This window comes from Homo sapiens, chromosome 6 (assembly GCF_000001405.40).
Source record: "Homo sapiens chromosome 6, GRCh38.p14 Primary Assembly".
Classification (NCBI taxonomy): Eukaryota; Metazoa; Chordata; class Mammalia; order Primates; family Hominidae; genus Homo; species Homo sapiens.
In genome coordinates this window covers 18,916,429-18,939,520 of record NC_000006.12, presented here as the reverse complement: position 1 = coordinate 18,939,520, position 23,092 = coordinate 18,916,429, and positions in this window count along the sequence as shown.

Here is a 23,092-nt window from a genome sequence, read left to right as displayed (position 1 = left end):
AGAAGTGCATGAGACAAGTGAATTCCTTTCACCTTCAGGTTTTTGGACTTTGCCTTTAATTTTTTTCTATTTTTAAAAGTAGGTGAAAATATGCATTAAAAAAACTATTAAGAAGTGCCTTTCTCAGCCCGAAGCAGCAAAGAAAATAGCAAAAATTCTGATTTCAAATCCCATCTCATTAAATTTTTAAATGTCAAGAGCCTAATATTAAAGACACATCTAGTTTATGCCAGCTTGGCCTGTCCTGGTCACCTAGAAAATTTTAGAGTCTTTCCTGGCTCAATCATTAATGTGTACTTAGAGAATGTAAGAAAATAACCATCAAAATGTGACTGTCATGTAGAAATTTTAGTTATTTTATAAGTGTCATTTTAATTTAAGGCAAATATAGATGTTTTTAATTATATGATTGTCCTCTTTACATGTATTTCTGTTGTGAATAAAGGAGAAGGCTGCAAAGTGTGTGCCTATGGCAAAATCCCCAATAATGCTGAACTTTCTATTTCTCCAAACATCAAATAAGGCTGAGAAAAAGATCAGCGTTCATCAAATTCTATTTTCTATTCCTCCTTTTTAACTTAAAGAAAACTATACTTTCCAAACCCTTTGCTCACAGACAAGGTCAGGTGACTACTTCTGGTCAGTGAAATTTGGGAAGAAATGATGCATGAGCTATGGCAATGGATATTCTGTTCATTATTCTCCAGGTCCTTCCTTTTCTTGCTCTAGCAAACCCTGAAGCCTCATCTGGCAATGTTGAAAATTCTGTCAGCCTGGATCCCTGAGTGACCATGTGGAGGAGAGTGCCATCCCCAACCCCTATCCTGCACCTCTATAACTTGGATTAGAATGCATGAACAAAAGATAAACTTTGGGTGTACTGTGAGATCTGCTAACTAATACCTAAGGTGTGGTCACAGATCTACTACCAAGTCTTTTCCCCCAACCAAACAGCTTGAATATATGGAGTGAGGATTACTGGAGAGACTAGCAAGGGAACTTTATTCTGCCTTGAGATGCCCAGTTCCAAGGAGCAACTTTCTTTGCATTTCATATGCACCAAATACAAGGAGAGATATTAAAATGTATATAGAAGAAAAGAATCCTCAGAACAACAGTTTAGATTTATAATAACAAACTTCAGAAAACTCATAAAAGCCCATCTGTTCTGTGAAGCATTCCAACAAAAATGACCACTTGGCGCTCACTGTTCTGTGCCACCGCTTATATTGTATTTGTGTGTATGGCTCTCATATCCCCAAGTGTGCCTCAAATTCAGGGCTCTGCAGGGCAGGGTATTTTATTGTGTTTTCTGCATGGCAGTCCACCTAAGATAAATGAATAGATGGGGGAAAGCAAATAAAATAGAAAACTGTCTCTTTCTACAGATGCGTGTACTGAAATTTCAAGTTTACAAAAAAATCAAAAGCATATACATTTTCTTTCTCTTACCAAATTGTCACTCATGGGCTTTAGCCCTTTACATCTACAGAGAAATGCTTTCAGACAGCAGATACAAGGAAGTAGAAAAAAAAATCACACAGCTGACCTCCTCTTTCTTCTATTCCAGAAGTATGTAGTTCATCTAACTGCTTTATCTTACAGGCTATGGTTTAATGTGGAAAGAGTTTGTCCTTTGTTGTAAGAAAATTGTTAATTGAGACTGGAAGTGTTATCTAAGAAAGAAAGACAAAGGAAATTCGGGCCACCTGCCACATTCCAGACTCTTATTAAGGTATTTCACATAAATTGCTCCATTCAGCTGTCTGAAAATCCCTAAATTTTTCACATTTACAATGTGGAGATGATAACAATATCAGCAAGGATTAAATGAGATTAGGTATGTAGATGTTCTCTGTAAATTGTACAGGAATACCACAGAAGTGAAAATTATTATTTTCAAAAAGTTGGTTGTTTCCAAAATATTAGATATTTCCTCTCAGGCAAAGAAAAGTATCACTTGCCTTGTGATGTTTAGTGTGTAACAATTACAGGTAAAAGAATATTTAAAAAAGAATATTTTCTTTCAAATGGTGTTGGAGAAAAGATTTTTAAGCAGCATTTCTATGTGCTAAGAGAGGGAGAAAGAGGAGCGAGTAAGAGAGAGAGAGAGATGAGATAAAGAAAGGTAGAAACAGAGGCACAAAGAGAGGGTAGCCCAACAGGCAGAAAGACAGACACAAAGGAACAGACACACACACACACACACACACACACACACACACATGCACACACACACACAGAGAGAGAGAGAGAGAGAGAGCAAACTAAACCTATTGGAGAACAAACTTGTATATATTGTTTACCTGTGTTAATTTGGTGGATTATTCCATTAAATCTCAGAAACTCTGAGATATCTTACTTTCTAAGTGGATGAAAAGAAATGAAAAGTTATATTCCTTTATGAACACTGAGAGGAAGTAGCCTGGGCCCTCTGGCTGGTCTTGGATTTGTCTGATCTGCACCTTTATGTTCAAATGGCTGCTTTCCATTTTTGCAGTGAAAGAACATTTTACTATGCAACAGCTTTGCACCAGGCAGTGAAACATATGGGCCTATGCCTGAATCCTTAGTCTGTCGTCAGTATCCCAGTACCTACCAGTTATTATGACCTTCAAATATAGTTCCAACACTGCTGTCCCCCTCAGAGATGTCTCTGCTGATTCATGTTGCAATACTCTGTCATTGGGAGTCATGCTCTGGACTAACCATGTCACACAGAAGCCTTTACCCACAAAGAAGTCTTAGAACAGACAACCAGAAATTGGGTTTCTTCCTATAGCCCAACTGCACTGATCTGACTTTGAAACCAACTGAATTCTCCCAGGGGAGCACTCGGGGCGTCATCTGAACCCAATCAATTGCAAGGTCAATGTATCAGTGGATTCTCATGCTGCTAATAAAGACATACCTGATCCTGGGTAATTTATAAAGCAAACAGGTTTAATTGACTCACAGTTCAGCATGGCTGGGAGGCCTCAGGAAACTTACAATCATCGTGGAAGGGAAAGCAAACATGTCCTTCTTAACATTGTGGCAGAAAGGAGAAGTGCTGAGTGAAGAGAGGGAAAAGCCCCTTATAAAACCATCAGATCTCATGAGAACTCACTCACCATCACAAGAACAGCATGAGGGTAACTGCCCTCATGATTCAATCACTTCCCACCAGGTCCCTCTCATGACATGTGGGGATTATGGGAACCTCAATTCAAGATGAGATTTGGGTGGGGACACAGCCAAACCATAACAGTGAACAAGGCAGGCAAAAACAATGAGAGAAGTACAAACACCAACTGTGGAATGCCAGGCACCTTCCTCTATGTTTTGTATGTGATTTCTCATCTAATCTTTCCAATTACCCTTACTTTTCACATGAAGATGCTAAGCACAGAGTGGTTACATTCCGCAAAGTTACAGACCTAGTTAGGGGCAGAATCCTAGAGACAAACTAGACACTGCATTTTCATACTTATATTTTGAGGAAAAAAAAGAACAGAATTCCATTCCTGTTCTTAGCTTGCTGCACATTCATGAACATCCATAATACAGTAAGCATGGCCTAATATTTGCTTCTCTGTACTTCATAAACTGGCATAAAAAGAAAGGAGAGAAATGTTCAAAAAAGGTGCTATTGCAAACATAGACACACACACACAAATCCTACAGAATATAACAACTGTTTTAATGAATTCAGATAAGGGTTTTAAATGCTATTTTTAAAAGTCCCTAAAAATATCTCTGGCAAGAAGATTCCCAAGGACAAGATTAAAAATGAGAGGTGAATGGAAGAAAGACTATCCTAGGAAAGTGACACTAGAGATGCCCACATGCATGAAGACTCCATCTTCAGATAGTGTTGAGGTGAGCCACAAGACAGAAAGCGAGCGAGTTTGGAGAAAATTCATGGAGACAAAGAAAGTTCTTTCTGGAACAAAGGAGATGAGGGAGGCAGGAGAGAGTGTTGAGGTAGCTGCAAGAGGCTGGAGCTGAGTGCTGCAGAGGCTTTACAGCAGGAAGGGAAGAAGCACCCGTCTGCTGACACCATTAGAGCCTTACAGATCTTTCTTCTCATGCAAGCCTCCTCACCTAAGGAGTAAATTCTATGGCTGCTAAGGCAGCATTGTCCGCTCTCTTCTCCTCAAAATTTTACTTCTTCCATATTTAATAGATGTCTAAGAGAAAGGTGGTTCCTGGTCAAATAAGCTTAGAAGACCATGCCCACAGTATCCCCTACCAGGATATTCATAATGAGCATTAGCAGATGAATGACTATGAGAAGACCTGACATAGACATAGCTATCAGTTTCATCCAGTATTCTGAAATGTGTTCCAATGTGTAGACTCTTTTTTTTTCAATTTCATCTTTCCCCAAACAGATGCCTTAGTCCATTTGTATTGCAATAAAGGAATACTTGAAGCTGGGTAATTTATAAAGAAAACAGGTTTATTTGGCCCATGGTCCTGCAGGCTTTACTCTTAGAAGACAAGGAATTTTACTCTCCTGTCATCATCTTTAAACTCTGGAAAGAGGTTCAAATATATTCTACATTTATAAGTAAAAGAGGATTATACTTCTGACTTATCATTTTCCACATCTTAAGCTTTAATTGAAATATCAATATCAAAAGTATCAATATCCACACACTATGACTTGAAATTGGACTAGAAAAACTAAGAAGCTATAGAGTGAAAGCATTTTAAATGACAGAGCATGATGCAAGCCAAATAATTATAGTTTCTTAATAAGTAAATTAGTGTACGATAATTTTCCTATATATTTCAAGTTGGAAAAAATTAAATTATTCACTTTCTATCAAACGAAAAAAGTAGCTCTAATATGCAAGAATTTTTCATGGGTCACTTGGAAGTTTATCCTTTAGGCCTGAAGTAGATTGGGTTTCTGAACATAACTAGTCATTGCCTATCACACGATTTAACATCACTTATAAATAAAAAACCCAAACATCTTTATAATTTTGTTCCATGTCTCTTAGGTATTATTTTACCATATCAATAGAATAAATAGCAAAACATAGTATTGTTTTTCAATAATAATTAATAAATACATACCATATACTGAATCATCTCACTAGATTTTCTTTTTTCTTTTTGAAGAAAAGGGCCATTCTTGTGTTTTCCATAGAGCTTAAAACAATCCCTTGCATATAATGGCAAGTAATTAATGCTTTAGGATGAAAATAATTGTTGATATCACTGGCTAAATACATAGAAAATTAAGCAAAGTACTAATGGGACGAATCTTGCAAATTGGTTTCCCACAAGATTCCAAATAAAAAGTCTTGGTTCAACCTGACAGCCTCCCTACCATTACCCAACAGAGCTACCCGAAATTACCAAACGGGCATCATCACCTATTAATTTTTCTGTCATCATAGGATAAACTCAGATAATAGAAATAGTGGCAGAAGTAAAGCTTCTCTGACGCAGCTAAGAGCTGCAGAGAAAGGTGGCTTTATCTTGAAACAGGTTTTGTTACGCACATGACAAATATGACCTTATGTAAATCATCTCTTCCTATCTGTGTTCTAAGTGACTCAACTTCAAAATCCAAACAATATTGCCAAACCCTCTATCAGTCTCATGACGAAGTGATAGGGAGCTGTGTCCTGGTAGTCAAGTTGAATTAGGCACTGTAGGAACCCAAAGATGTAAGTATTCCTAAAGATGGAATTTCAGAGGTATTTCTAAAAGTCACATTTCTGAAACTAAGGTCACTCCAATTTATTTACAGAATCCCTAGAATCATAGAATAGTGAATATGGAGGATTTGTTTATATCATTAATTTAGCTCACTCCCATGTATTTATAAAGAAAGAAGACAAAGCCTCCTGAAATGAAGGTGTGGTCTCAGAAGGTAATTCAAGGCACAACTAAGAAATGAGGGCTTCATCCAACTACTTCTACAGTCCTAGGGTCTTTTTACCACACCATAAAACCTTCTCACAATGGTTTCATGCACTGTTGTATGAGAAAGAATTATTTCAAAATTGAAAGGGAAGAGTTAACGAAAATGTAACCAATGTCGTATACCGATTTAAGTCTCTATTTAATCCATCCAACCGTTTACAGGGTGTTTGTTTTCCACAGAAAGCCACACACATCCAGGAGTTGCACACACTCATATTCAGAAATTACTATCTGGCGCTAGCATGTGTGGGTGGCTGGTTGCCTAAGCATGCGAAATTTCCTCAATTGGAAAGACACATCTTTGAAGAAAGCTGACAAACCTACTCCCATCTCATGTCAAACTGAGAACTGATCCTCAGTGATCATTAATGATCACATAGTCTGCCCAACCAAGAATCCACTCTTTACACAGTTGTAAGGATATCTCACTTAACACACAGAGGGAAAGTGACCCACTCAGGAATTCGAGGACTAAAAGATGTACTAAATGATTCATTTACTTAAAAAATTCTTCAGAATATTCTAAGAGGCACAGAGTCAAATTCAAAATGAAAACTGAGATATTTTTCCCTCCTGAATTTATGTTTAAAGGAAATGAACTTCACCTTTCTCCTTCTCAAGTATTATAATGTTGTTGCCTGCTATATAACTTTTACCTCTTGCTGTTTCACTGGGAGCTATTTTTGCAATGAAGGACAAGCTAGTTCTATATGCATTTCTGTACATGTTTAAAAACAAAAACAAAAGGCACTATGTTAAAAAAGAAAGCACATGGTTATTTCAAAGCCAGCTTGGGATGACTTAGCCTTATGTTTCATATTTCCATACACATCCAAAAGGGAACAACTTTCTGTTACCCCAAAATATCTTAGAATCACTAGATCTGGACCCCCAAAGATTGTACACAAGAAGGGACTAAGGCAATGTAAGCATAGTTTAGCTTTAAGATTTCTTTCACCTTCAAACTACACAAGAAACTCAAGACTCACTTCAGTTTCTTCCTCTATATGTTCCTCTATATGTTATCTTTCTCCAGTGGAAGTAATTTTCCTTCTCTAAGCTGTTATTAAATAGGATCTTTGCTGTCTTCATGTTAACTTATCATATACTATCTAGTGATATTTATTGTAAGTTTTCTCCCCTTCAACATTTTATGTCTTGCCTCTCTTTTGAAGCCTTTCCTGACCTCCTCAGGAAGGGGCCTGGCTCTCTCCTAAGAGTTTCTCCTGTGAATGGTACAAACTTGTATTACATCTTGCATAATACTTTCATTTGTCTTAATGTTGATCTCCCTTTCTGCCGGTCCCTTGAAGGTACAGACAAAATACCTTAACATCTTTAGGTCTTAAATCTTATAATACTTCACAGCACAAAATAAATATTTGTTTGATCACTTATTACCATAAACTCCTGCAGAGGTAGCCTTCCCTAATTGTAGGCTATTTTCTGGGTTTTTTGTTGTTGTTATTATGTAACTGTAACTATCCCTTTTACTATTTGTCATCCTCCTGAAGCAGCTATCTTTGCTTCGGGTAAGTCTCAATTTGCTTTATTGGCATGTGGATATCAACATTATTGGGGCTGCAGATGAATTCAGTCCTGCCAGATGTACAGAAAGGAAGCAGCAATGTCACAATAATACATGAAGCAGTCACTTCTTCAATAATCTAACAGGGGAGATGAGAAGCTTGCATTCTCTTTCTCTTCACACAAAGAACAAAGCTCATACCCCTGGGCTGGCCACATATCCAGAACAAAATGGTACAACAATGATTTTTCAGCCATCTAGGTTGATGAAACTTTTCAGCTGCCCAATGGTCAGGCATTTGAGTGGTAAGTAGGGGATGTAAAGCATTCTTCCTCCTTACTGGGGACACTGGCTCGTTCAAGAGGGATTTGCTGAAGAATCAATTCCCCAAACAGCTTGTTTTGTTTTGTTTTGCTTCCTTTGTATGTAGGCAGATTGTCTTAAGCTGCCAAAGTAGGAAATAAATGGCATTAAAAATGTGTTCCCGTGAAGAAGCAAATTGTTTCTTTTACCAGAATATTCATCAGAGATTTGTAAAATTTTGAAAACAACACAAAACCACCAGTGACTTTCTTGTGATTCTTCCCTTGGACTGCATCTAATTTCAGCTTCTTTCTTTCTGCTCTTTAAAATTGCTAATATCTGTAAGAGTATGCAATATCATGCCAGCTTTAATTCAAGTGAAGCGAAAATTAGAGGTAAACTTGCTGATTAAGTGGTCTCATATCACATATCACACAGAAGCTAAATGTAGACACTTAGATTTAAATTGTTACAAGGGCTCTCCAAAATTGCATTCACAAAACCTTCATTGGTATGCATGAGCAGCTGTCTCGTTATCCATTCCACCCAGTAGCAAGCTGGTGACTTCCTTATCAAAGGCTATATACATCGTGGACTAAGACTGTAATTGCCAATTGATAAAGCATTGATGCATTGACCACAAAATTGCAACCAGCGGACTCTTATTCATTGTGCTGAGATCAACTAATCTATTTTGACAATCAACCGTACACTCAATATTTGAACTTTTCTGTAAAGCCTGCCCTTACTCTGACTTGATGGTGTGCACATTCTCACCTAATCAGGTGTCATCCTTACCATAATTGAAGCACCTTCTCTGATACAGAAGCCAGCGGCTGGAGAATAAGACACATACAATCCAAATCTTCACAGGATGATTTGTAAATCAATCAACCCAACAAAATAGAGATAAGTATTTCCTTTCATTCACTCACTCTCAATATAAAGATTATTATAGGGTGAATGTTTGTGTCTCCCCAAAATTCATATGCTGATGCCCTGATCCCCATTTTGTAGGGTTAGAAGAGGTCATGAGGGCAGGGCCCTCACAATAGGATTAGTGTCCTTATAAGAAGAAACATCGGAGAGCTTGTTCAATATCTGTCTCTCTGTCGCATGTGAGGAAGGCAGCCAAAAAGAGTCCTATGTAGAAACTGAATCAGCAGTCGCCTTGATCTTGGGCTTTCAGCCTCTACAACAGTGAGAAAAATTTTTGTTGTTTAAGCCACCCAGTCTGCAGTATTTTGTTGTGGCAGCCCAAGATGACTAACACAAAGATACCGTTATATAAAGTATTATATGTACAAATACATAAATAAATATTAACATAATAGTTGTATTAAAGTAGGTATCATTGTATGGTTACATGTAGATGAAGATGCAGTTCCACATAATTAAGCACAGTTGCAGTTTAAGTCTTCAGCTGGTAAAATTTTCTCTGTTTAGCCCATTTGGAAAAGGTATTCCCTTTGGGAGACTGTTTAATAAGTCAAAGACATAACAGAAACAGTGTTGACCTCATTAACATAAGCTTCTTTCTCCTGTTTATAACTTGGTCATAAACCTTCATAACTGCTCAGTAAGAAAACCGTCTGGATGATAATAGTACTCAGAGGGGGAGTTGTTTGCAGATCAGTGAAGCCAGGCCACATGTCCCTCCACCAAAGAGCTGTAAAAGTGCTACTCTCGGTGAAAGCAAAACTCCTTTAAAAGTTATTAACATGTCAGGACCACTATGTAGAAAAGTATGTGAGTATACAGAATATAGAACAAAGAGATTTCTCTTTAAACATCTTAATCGAGCTAATCCAGGCTTTCTCACATATTACCTTGATTCTAAGATGTAATCAATTGCAAAGCATACCTTAGATTCAAATTAGCTTTTGGAGATAAATAGATAGATGATAGATAGATAGATAGATAGATAGATAGATAGATAGATAGATAGAAAGACAGACATAAATATGTATACAGGTGTATGACCGTGTGTATATGTGTGTGTATGGGTATACATATGTGTATATATATAGGTATACGTGTGTGTACATATGCGCATATGAATATACACATGCACACACCAATGTACACATTAATAGTGAGCCCTAACCTGATTATCATTATAAGGTGAAAAGTGTGTCATAAAATTCAGTAAATCAGTTACTTTTTTTTCAATTCTCTTTCTCCGTATATGTATATGTATATGTATATGTATATGTATATGTATATGTATATGTACGTGTGTGCTGGAGAAAAATGAAGAGAATAAAAGAAAACTTTAAAGTTTGCATTTGTTCTTGTGAACTCTAAAGTGTTTGTAAGGCAGAGCTCACATGCGAAGCTGCTCAAGGAATATGGTTTGCCAAAAAAATAGATGGCCACTGAAGGGGGGAAAAAATGAATGAAAAGTAGTGGTCTAGATGTGGCTATTTCTTCTTTCATCAAAAGCTTCTCATTAGAAAATGATAGTAATTTCAGTTTGACTTGAAAGATAAATTAAATACACTCTCCACATATTTCTTTTCATATTGGTTAAACACTTATATACCATTTTCTACACAACCCAAGCAACGTCCTAAAGTAAGAGGTGACTTCTTTTTTTTTTCTAGCTTTAAGAGTTCTTTTTTTATTATTATACTTTAAGTTTTAGTGTACATGTGTACAATGTGCAGGTTAGTTAGGATTATAAATCATGCTGCTATAAAGACGCATGCACACGTATGTTTATTGCGGCACTATTCACAATAGCAAAGACTTGGAACCAACCCAAATGTCCAACAATGATAGACTGGATTAAGAAAATGTGGCACATATACACCATGGAATACTATGCAGCCATAAAAAATGATGAGTTCATGTCCTTTTTAGGGACATGGATGAAGCTGGAAACCATCATTCTCAGCAAACTATCACAAGGACAAAAAACCAAACACCGCATGTTCTCACTCATAGGTGGGAACTGAACAATGAGAACACATGGACACAGGAAGGGGAACATCACACACCGGGGTCTGTTGTGGGGTGGGGGGAAGGGGGAGGGATAGCATTTGGAGATATACCTAATGTTAAATGATGAGTTACTGGGTGCAGCACACCAACATAGCACATGTATACATATGTAAGTAAGAGGTGACTTCTAAAATTTGATGAGTATATGTGTTCAAGTTCGAGTCCAGAATTAAGTAAAATTAATTATGAAGTATGAAAACTGCAAAAAATGCAGTACAAGCAAATGCCAATCACCTTCATATTGTTATTAATATCAGCATCACTAAGGGTGGACCAATCAGACCTCTGCTCCTTGTGCCTTACCCATGATGAAGTATTCTAAAAATGCCTCACTTGAACCTCATTGAGATTGCAAATCTAGCTTCCAGTTGACAGGAACAGCAGCCATCAGAGGAACAAGTTAAACAAAAAAGCAATCTGAGAAATATAGAGGATAGAAATTTCCATAGGATAATGACTTGGGTCAGCTCAAGAAATACATAGAATGGAAGGGAAGCGGCAAGGTAGGGTGTATGGATTCCCAGTGTAAAACTATTAAGATACAACAACCAAATGGTATCGGTGAACCTGAGCTGGATCTTTCTTTGAACACACCAACACTAAAAGCTATTTTAAGGCTAATGCACGAAATTTGAATATAGACAGAATATTACTTAATATTGAGGACTTAGTGAGAGAAATGCAGAGCAAGATGGCCAAAATAAACCATCAAAGGGATAATTCAGAGAATTATAACAGAGAATTTCCCAAACCTGGAGAAAGATATCAGTATTCAAGTACAAGAAGGTTATAGAACACCAAACAGATTTAACCCAAAGAAGACCATCTCAAGATATTAAATAATCAAATTCCCAAAAGTCAAGGATAAAGAAAGGATGGTAAAGCAGCAAGAGAAAGGAAACAAATAACATAAAAAGGAGCTCTGACCTGTCTGGCCACAGGCTTCTCAGTGGAAACCTTACAGGCCAGGAGAGCTGGCATGACATATTTAAAGTGCTGAAGGAAAAAAACTTTTCTCCTGAAGTAGTACATCCAGCAAAAATATCCTTCAGAACATGCAGGAGAAATACTTCCTAGACAAACAAAAGCTGAGGGATATCATCAACACTAGACCTTTCTTACAAGAAATGCTAAAGGGAGTTACTCAGTCTGAAAGAAAAGGATATTAAATGAGCAACAAAAAATTATCTGAAGGTACAAAACTCACTGGTAATAGTGCACAGAAAAACACAGAATATCATTACATTGTAATTGTGGTGCATAAACTACTTGTATCTCGAGTAGAAACACTAAAAGATGAACTAATCAAAAATTATAACTACAACAAGTTTTTAAGACATAGACAATATAATAAGATGTAAATAGAAACAATAAAAAGTTTAAAAGCAGGGGGATGAAGTACAAGTGCAGAGTTTTCATTAGTTTTCTCTTTGCTTATTTGTTTGTTTCTTTACACAATCAGTGTTAATTCTTCATCGGTTTAAAATAATGGATTATAAGATATTATTTGCAAGACTTGTGGTAACCTCAAATAAAAAACATACAACAAATACACAAAAAATAAAGAGCAAGAACTTAAAATATATTACCTCAGAAAATCACCTTCACTAAAAGGAAGATAGGAAGGAAAGAAGGAAGAGAAGACCACACAACAACCAGAAAATAAATAACAAAATGCCAGAAGTAAGTCTTTACTTATCAATAATAACATTGATATAAATGGATTAACTGTCCAATGAAAACACAAATGGCTGAATGTATTTTAAAAAGACCCAGCAATCTCTTGCATATAGGAAACACACTTCAGTTATAAAGACACACATAGAAATAAAATAAAGGGATGAAAAAAGATATCCTAGGCAAGCGAAAATAAAAAAAGAACAGGAGTACCTGTACTTATATCAGACAAAATAGATTTCAAGACAAAAACTATAAAAAGAGACAAAGAATATTATTATATAATGATAAAGGGGTCAATTCAGCAAGAGGGTATAACAATGTAAATATGTACACCCAACATTGCAGCACCCATATATTTAGAGCAAATATTAATAGTGATAAGGAGACAGATAAACCCCAATGTGATAATAGCTGGAGACTTCAACATCCAACTTTCAGCATTGGATAGATCATACAGATAGAAAATCAACAAAGACACATTGGACTTAATCTGCATTATAGATTAAATGGATCTAATAGATGCTTATAGAACATTTAATCCAACAGCTGCAGAAGACACATCCTTCTCGCCTGCATATGCATTATTCTCGAGGATAGACTATATTTTAGATCATAAAACAAATCTTAAAACTTTCAAAAAATTAGAAATCATATCAAGTATCTTCTCTGACAAAAATGGAATAAAACTAGAAATTAACAATCAGAGGAATTTTGGAAATTATACAAACATATGAAAATTAAACAATAGGCTCCTGAATGACCAGAGGATCAATGAAGTAATTAAGAAGGAAATTTAAAAATTACTTAAATGAAAATGAAAACACAATAACCAAAACCTATAGGGTACCATCAAAGCAGTACTAAGATGAAAGTCTATAGCAAGAAATACCTACACCAAAATAGTAGGAAAACTTGAAATAATCAACCTAACAATATACCTTGAAGAACTAGAAAATCAAGAGTGAAACAAACCCCAAGTTAGTAGAAGAAAAGAAATAATAAAGATCATTGCAGAAATAAATGAAATTGAAACAAAAAAGACAATACAAAAGTTTAGTGAAACAAAAAGTGGGTTTTTTGGAAAGATAAATAAAATTGGCAAAACTGGAGCCAGGCTGAATAAGAAAAAAGAGAAAAGGTGCAAATAAAATCAGAGATGAAAAAAGAGACATTACAACCAATACTGCAGAAGTTCAAAGGATCATTAGAGGCTACTATGAGCAACTATATGCCAAAACATTAGAAGACATGAATAAATTCCTAGACACATACAATCTACCAATATTAAACCATGAGGAAATTCAAAACCTGAACAGACCAATAACAAGTAATGAGATCAAAGCAGTAATAAAGTCTCCCGGCAAAGACAAGTTCAGGACTCAATGGCTTCACTGCTGAATTTTGCCAAGTATTTAAAGAACAAATACATTCCTACTTAAGGTATTAAAAAAAAAAGAGAGAGAGAGAGGAGGGTGGAATACTTCTAAACTCATTCTATGAGAACAGTATTACCCTAACACCAAAACCAAAGACACATCAAAAAGAGAAAACTGCAGGCCAATATCCCTGATGAATATTGGTGTAAAAATCTCAACAAAATACTAGCAAACTGAATTCAACAACCATTAAAATGATAATTTATCATGAGCAAGTGTCATTTATCCCAGGAATGCAAGAATGATTCAATATATGAAAATCAATCAATGTGATACATCATATCAACAGAATGAAGGACAAAAATAATGTGATCATTTCAACTGATGCTGAAAAAGCATTGGATACAATCCCACATCTCTTCATGATAAAAGCCCTGGGAAAAATTGAGTATAGAAGAAACATACCTCAACACAATAAAAGCCATATACAATAGACCCATAGCTAGTATCCTACCGAATGGGGAAAAACTGAAAGCCTTTACTCTAAGATCTGGGTTCGGACAAACATGCCACTTTCACCATGTTATTCAACATAATACTGAAAGTCCTAGCTAGAGCAATCACACAAGAGAAAGAAACAAAGGGCACCCAAAATGGAAAAGAAGTCAAATTATCCCTGTTTGGAGATGACATAGTCTTATATTTAGAAAAACCTAATGACTCCACCAAAAACTATTGGAATTGATAAACAAATTCAGTAAATTTGCAGGATACAAAATCAATATACACTAATTAGCAAAAATTCTGTATGCTAACAGTGAACAATTTGAAAAAGAAGTCAAGAAAGTAACGTCATTTACAATAGCTACAAATAAATTAAAACACCTAGGAATAAACTTAACCAAATAAGTAAAAGATCTCTACAATAAAAACTATAAAACATTGATGCAAGAAATTAAAGAGAACACAAAAAAAGAAAAGATATTCCATGTTCATGAGTTGGAAGATTCAATATTGTTAAAATAACCATACTACCCAAACCAGTCTACAGATTCAACGCAATTCCTATCACAATACCAACGACGTTCTTCACAGAAATAGGAAAACCAATCCTATAATGTATACAGAACAACAAAAGACCCAGAATAGCCAAAGCCATCCTGAGCAAAAAGAACAAAACTGGAGGAATCACATTACCTGACTTCAAATTATACTAAAGAGCTGTAGTCACCAAAACAGCATGATACTGGCATAAAAACAGACACAAAGACCAATGGAATAGAATAGAGAACCCAGAAACAAATCCATATATCTACAATGAATTCATTTTTGGCAAAGTTGTCAAGAACATACATTGGGGAAAAGATAATTTCTTCAACAAATAGTGCTGGGAAAACTGGATATCCATATGATGCAGAAGAATGATCTTAGAACTCCATTTCTCACAGTATACAAAAATCAAATCACATAAATTAAGGACTTAAATCTAAGACCTCATACTACGAAAGTACGAAAAGAAAACATTGGGGAAATTCTCTAGGACATTGGCCTGGACAAAGATTTCTTGAGTAATACTCTACAAGCACAGGCAACCAAAGCAAACATGGATAAACGGGATCACATCAAGTTAAAAGCTTCTGCAAAGCAAAGGAAACAATCAACAAAGTGAAGAGACAACTCATAGAATGGGAGAAAATATTTGCAAACTATTCATCTGATAAGGAATTAATAACAAGAATATATAAGTAGCCCACGCAACTCTATAGAAAAAAAAATCTAATAATCTGGTTAAAAAATGGACAAAATTGATTTACATAGACACTTCTCAAAAGAAGACATAGAAATGGCAAACAGGTATATGAAAAGGTGCTCAACATCGTCAATCATCAGAAAAATGCAAATCAAAAGTACAATGAGATGTTATCTCATCCCAGTTAAAATGACTTTTATCCAAAAGACAGGCAATAGCAAATGCTGTTGAGGATGTGGAGAAAAAGGAAACCTTGTACACTGTTGGTGAGAATGTAAATTTGTACAATTACTATAGAGAATAGTTTGGAGGTTCCTCAAGAAAATAAAAATAAAGCTACCATATGATCCATTATTCCACTGCTAGGTACATGCCCAAAAGAAAGGAAAACTATATCAAAAAGATACCTGCACTTCCATGTTTATTGCAGCACTATTCACAACAGCTAAGATTTAGAAGCAACTTAAGGGTCCACCAACAGATGAATGGATAAAGAAAATGTGGTTCATATACACAATGGAGTACTACGACTCAGCCATAAGAATGAGACTCTGTCATTTCCAACAACATGGATAGAACTGGAAGTCATTATGTTAAGTGAAATAAGTCATGCACAGAAAGATAAACATCACATGTTCTCATTTATTTGCAGGACCACAAATTAAAACAATTGGACTCATGGAGACAGAGAGTAAAAGGATGGTTACCAGAGGCTCAGAAGAGTAGTAGGGGGTGGGGTAGGAAGTGGGGATGGTTAATGGGTACAAAAATATAGTTAGAATGAATATGATATAGTATTTGATAGCACAACAGGGTGACTAGAGCCAACAATAGTTTATCGTACATTTAAAAATAACTAAAAGAGCATAATTAGATTGTAAAGAAAGGTTAAATGCTTGAGGTGATGGATACCCATTTACCCTGATGTAATTATTACACATTGTATGCCTGTATCAAAAGATCTCATGTAACCCATAAATACATACACCTACTATGTACCCCCCAAAATTAAAAAACAGAAATAGAAAAAATATTGGGGAATTAGAGTTAATATATAATAGTGGTGAAGTAGGAATATATCTATTTTTAGAGAAAGGCTTCTAAAGCATTTAGAAATGAAATATCATAAAGTCTATAACTTATTTTAAGTGATATAGCAAAATGGTATAAAGAAAGTATGGTAAAAGACACACAATTACTATATTTAGCTACTGAATACATGGGTGTCCATGATACCATTCTGTTTACTTTTCTATGTATTTAAATTTTTTCTAACTTTTTCTAACAAATGAATCTGTTAACCAACCAAGTTGGTTAACCATGTTGTTTTATAGAGGTGACATTGTTTCACCACTTAAAAAATATTAGATAAAATAATGTACATAAATGCAGCCATATATCTATTATTAGGAAATTATTTTGCAAAATAATTGTTATAAAACTTGAATCCTGTTTTATTTCCTACTTGATTTATCTTGTAAAAGTGTCAACATCTGGGTTCACTAATAAATTATTAGAACTTTCTCTTCTCTCAAAATGTTGTTGTGAGGATCAAATGGTAATGTTTTATAAGCTATACGTTGTGATACAAATGCTACTTGTATTAATAACTCTAGTTCTAAACTGGCTCTTGCCTTACAGTTAATTTTCTAATAACAATGAACACGCTCCTCCTCCACTTAGGAGTAGGAATGTATCCCTAGATTCAAAATTATAAACATTAACATCTTCAAATACATTTACTATTTTTCTGTTATCTGGCTAGGAAAGAAAGAGTAGTATCTTATTTCCAATAAAAGTTAACATATGCATGCACACATATAGTCATTTATGTTTATTGAAGATAATTCTCTCAGTATACGTTTTAATTTGTAACTCACCTTACATCTTTCCTGGTACTGTTAAGAGACCAGCATTGTCAAATCAAAAGAGATAGTTGTTTCTCTGAACTTACTGAAGCATCTGAGATGCTAGAGTCCATCTATGAAACCCTATACTTTGCAGGTTTTGAGGACAGCAAGCAGATGTTCAAACTTCTAAAAACTGGGAATCTCCTCACCAATCTCTGCTTCAGTTATTTGAACTACATCTTCTTTTGTTACATCATCAATTGAGATAAATTATTTTATATAGCTGCTCATGTGGGAACAGACTTAATACAAGTGACCAAGTTTATCAGAAATTATATTTTATTCTTGATGCATGGATAGGGCCTTTAAATGTTATTTTATGTTTTTTAAAAAAATAAGCAAATTACCAAATCATAGATGACTAGAACACATTAGCATGTAAAATTAACTATTAAAAGTTACAATGAACCACCAAGGGCTATTTGGAAGTTAGAATTTTTAAATGCAAGTTGTGATGATCTAAAGAGAAAATATGATGAATACATTATGTGCATGGATATTAAATTTTGCATTGGGCCAAAGTTTCAGGTACTCTTCTGCCCAGAATAAGAATCTTTAAAGATCTTATGCTTATTCAAATTATCCTACTCCTAGGTCCTATGAATCCAAACAAAGCAAGTAAAAGAGGTCTCTTGGGTAAGGAAAGCACAGCAAGCCCTCACCCCAATTAGTCTACAGAACTAATTGCAGGCCCAGCCCAGCCTTGTGCAAGCACACTAGAGGTAAGCTGGAAGACAGCCGTGGGCAGTGAGGGCCGGAAAAATTTCCCCTATATACCTACCCCTAGTCTTCCATAATAATAGCGTGGCATGGAGAATATTTGGAAAAATTCCTATCACCCAATTCATTCACCAGCCCAAGATGGGTACATGGGTTAGCTAAGAATCTAGAGTAGAATTTCCTGCCAGAGGTTGCCAAAGCAAGGGGGCAGAGAGGTCTCATAGCAGAGAATTCAGACTAAGTTCAAATCCAAGAGTCAGGTAGATAGTGTCATTGAACTTCAAAGAGTACCCTGAGAACTGAGATGGGGCATTTGGTCAGCAGATGGCCCAGCAACCTGCAATAGTCCTGGCATCCTCACTCAGAGCAACAAAAAATGGGCTGGCTCCCTCAGCAGGGAGTGCATAAGAGAAAGAACCTGATAGCCACAGCCCCAGGGACAGGATACACCTCAGCAGAGGCAAGAAGGACACAAGGAGCAGGGACAGTCTGCAAAGCAGAAACCTCCTCCTTGTTCCCGTGGAACTTCTCATTCTCCATCCCCACGTTGTCGTGGGGAAGAAGAGGAGGGAAGAATATTTGAAAAGGGAAGATGCCTTGATTGAGATTTTAAACTGACTTAGGAAACAGATTCCACTTTGGGAGAAATAAAGCCACCCTTCTGTACATTTGAGTTTTGCCTACAAATTTCAGTCCCATTATCAACCACCTAATACCCTGCTTCAAGCTCACGGAGGCATGCATTCTCAGCTCTTCAAGACGGAGAACTCAAAATGACTAATAAAGAGCTGAATTCTTTCACTTCTCTTCAGTGTGATTTTCACAGGGTAAAAAGCTTCCTCTTGATCCAGCTTCCCTGGCTTTTGGGATCATGTAAAATTGTCAGCACCTGCCATTTGAATGTGTTTTAGCACAGCAGGCTCATGAAACGTGGCAGCTGGAAGCAGGTGTGAGTTGGGAGCAGGGTTAGCCAGCTTCTAAGGGAAACCAAGGTTTTCCCAGGGAGGGATTTAAAGGCAAATGTACATTGCCACCTCCAGACTAAACAAAACCAGGAAACTGTTTTGACCCTGTCGCTCAAGAAAAGGAGAGTAGGGTCAAAGACCATCACAAAAACAAATGCCACAAAAAGATGACACCCCTATTTGCATCAACAGGGTGGGGAGGAGGAGCTTGACAATAGGGAAAAGCTGGAGATAAATAATACAGGGAAGGAGTGTAGCGGGATTTAATCATACAGAGCAACTGACAAGAAGATGGCATTAAGGACAAAGCAGCACTTAAGCCATGTACCTGAACTCGGGGGGGGAAGTTAGGCAGAGCATTATTTTAAAAGACGGTTTGTAAACATTTTTTTTGTGTGTGTTCTAACAAAATTTTAGTTCATCAACCTCAAAGATTTTGCTTCGGGTTTCCACGTGCAATATCACATCTCCCTAGACCTATCCTTAAGTATGTTTGTGAGTGTGTGTGTGTGTGTGTGTGTGTGTGTGTCTGAGAAAGAGAGAAAGAGATTTAAGCTGTGGGTATAATAGCTTATGTATCCTCAATGGTTAAAAGATATTTTAAAAATCATTGTTAATCCATACAATATTACCTACAAAATGCCCAGAGCAGAATACTAGAATTAGAGTATGATTCTAACAAGCAGAATCAGATACTAGGATTTCACAAACATCTGGTGTTGACCACCTATACACAAATTGATTTTTAGAGAAATGAAACTAAGAACTATTTCTCTAAATTTAAATTTAGTTTGCAAAGTCTGTTAGCATGGTATCATAATAAATTTTCCAAGATATCTGATCTGACTATAATTGAACCAGGTTACCTGTCCCCATGGCTTGCATATAGCTCCCTTGTTCTGGTTGGGACTATAACCCTAGATCTTTTGCCTCATATCAACTTGTGTTTCATTAATTGATGGAGTTCTGAGCCCTTCTCTTCCTGGCTTCTTGCCTTTCACTCAAGCCTGTGAAATATTCCTGAGGACTTTCCTCCTAGGAATGATGTGTGCTAGCTCCTCTAATTACACCTGTTTCTGATCACTCTGGATCAGAAGCCCACTCCAACCCAGCCTGCGAGACTTAGCAAGAATACATGAGCCCTTCCAAAGGGGAATGAAACACAATGTTTCTACCAATACGACCAGTAAGCTGACTTCTTAATTTATCTCTATGATCAACAAATGCTTTAGAGTCTAAATTCGCAGAAAAAGATCCTTCAACAACATCTCCATTATCAATAGGTTTGAATCTTCAAATTATTGTCAACATAGTTAGCAAGCCCTATCCATTTATCCATTCTTTCATTCACTCATTTGTTTACTATTTATGTTTTACTTTTAAAAATACAAGTAAAACAAAATAACAACAAAAAATTAAACTAAGTATCTCTTACGGGCTGGGAATAGAAATAGGCCTCAGGGATATGTCTAATTCAGATTTCAGAAGCAAAACTGACATTTTTCTATGTAGTGGGATTTGGAAGCATCCCCTGCCCCAAATATGTCCCTTTTTTATCCTACATTTTCTTTTTTATTGCCTACTTTTAGACCCCCCAAAAACAGGTTGTCTACCAAGGAATGGTAATTAGATTTTTCATCAGCAAAAAACAAAAAAACTAAAAGCTAATAACATAACCATGAAAATAGAATGTATAGAAAATTATCATTTACTTCTGAAGCATATGAAGAATTAATCACCTGCAGTCAACCCTATCTGAAAGAATTATTAAAACGTATACATCAACAAGAAGAAATTTGAACCCCAGAAGACAGTGAAGACTGGTGAGCACAGAAATTTATCAAACAAGTTGATACTTTAATTAGTTCTCAGTTGAGAAAAACAACTAATATTTGGAATTAAAACTTAAATGTAAAACAAAATTCTAGGTAAAACAAACCAATTCAGAGGAACATCTAGCAAAGAGGTAATGTATACTGGGTCTTATGTTCAGGAATAGAAAAAATATAGAAACACCCAGAGTAGTTAAAGATGACTCTATATATGCTTTGGAAGAAATTCTTTGATAGGTAAAAATTAAAATTTCTTCCAAAAATATTATTAAGCATAAGGGCAATATTTTTTTAACTCTTCAAATAGTTTCTATTCAATCATTCTTGTCTATTTCTCTGAGAACATATTGAGGTCAATTGATTAAATTGCAGCCAGGCACAGTGGCTCACCTCTGTAATCCCAGCACTTCGGGAGGCCAAGGTGAGAGGATCACTTGAGTGCCAGAGTTTGAGACCAACCTGGGCAACATGGCAAGACCCCTGTCTCCACAGAAAAAAAAAATTAATTAGGCATGGTTTTGCATACCTGTGGTCCCAGCTATTTGGGAGGCTGGAGTGGAAAAATCACTGGAGTCTGGGAGTTCAAGGCTGGAGTGAGCCTTGATTGTACCATTGCACTCCAGCCTAAGCTTGTCTAAACAACAACAACAACAATAACAACAACACCGCTATGAAATCACAATCAACTTCTAAGAAATCTGACCACTTTCTACTCTTAAGTGTTGTATGGCAAACTGCTGCTGCTGATTCCCTTTCTCTGAAACCATGTTGTCAAAATGTAGGTCTCAGAACATGAATAAAAGTCTAAAATTATCTAGGCTCCAAAGAGTTTTGTTTATACAAGTTATAGTTGTCGCTATTAACTTTATTAGAATTAAAACTAAAAAATGTAAACATATCCACTTATTTAAAATGAACAATATTACAAAAATATTTTATAAAAATAATTATATTTCCCGAAAGAAAAAATTTGTGAGAAAAGTGATGATCTTTTCCATTTTTGCAAATCTCTTTAATGTCTGACTTAATAGAAACAGCTGGGTTCACATATATGGTTCTGTACTCAATCTGTTGAGACATGCTTCTCTTCCTGAAGCATATGAACAAAATATGAATTCACACAGATAAATATTTGAGGAAAGAAGGAGGAGTACTTTAATAGCCCTTTTCAGATAATTCTAGGTATTCTTTTTTTAAACTACACCAAAACTCATTAAGTCAAAGTTCCCTAAAATTTAGATACAATGTGGAATCTTAAATCATAAGTAAACATTTTTATTCTACTACATTAAAATCCATTTGTCTACCTTGTACATGGAATCGTATTTTACTACACATGAATTCGTGATATCATGCATTGATATGTTAGAAAATATTGGTTACTGAGTTATGTCCATCTTCCAAATGTTCAATATGAAAGATATATTATGTTTCATTATAAAATATCAAAAAGTCACGTTTGTTAATACTGCCATTGAGTTTATCAGAAAATCATTAAGAATTAGAAAGTCATAAAGCTCATGGATACAAGTTTTGAAAACGTCCATTTTTTACCTGAAAGTTGAAATTTTATCATTGGCAACAAATACCATGGTCTTTTTTCTTGAATTGGCATTTTCAAGGAAATGTCTATCAAATGCATAACTCTGAAAAGCCATAGCTTGTGTATCAGTGTTTTCTTTGAGTAAAAAGAGTATTCCATGCAAAAAGCTGGTTGTTCAGCTCACAACTTAACCATAAGACAACATTTATACTTCAATATGAAGCAGAAATTCCCTATGGATACTTCTCAAGTTGTCACACAAAATATTTGTGTACTTGAGAGTGAAGATTTAATAAAATTATTGAATTGTATTGTTTCATTAAAGACGTCAAGAAAAACTTGGCTTTTTAATTAATTAATTATTATTATTGCTGTGAAAACTGCAATGGGCTCTCTTCAGTTTGGTGCTATTGTCTTGATTAATGTTAAGATACTAGAAGTTTTACCCGTTATTACTTTTTATTCATCATCACTGCAAATGTCAGCAAAGTGAAAAAGGCAAATAACACCTTAGAGTTGCTGTAAAAATAGTTTTGACCTATGGACCCCCT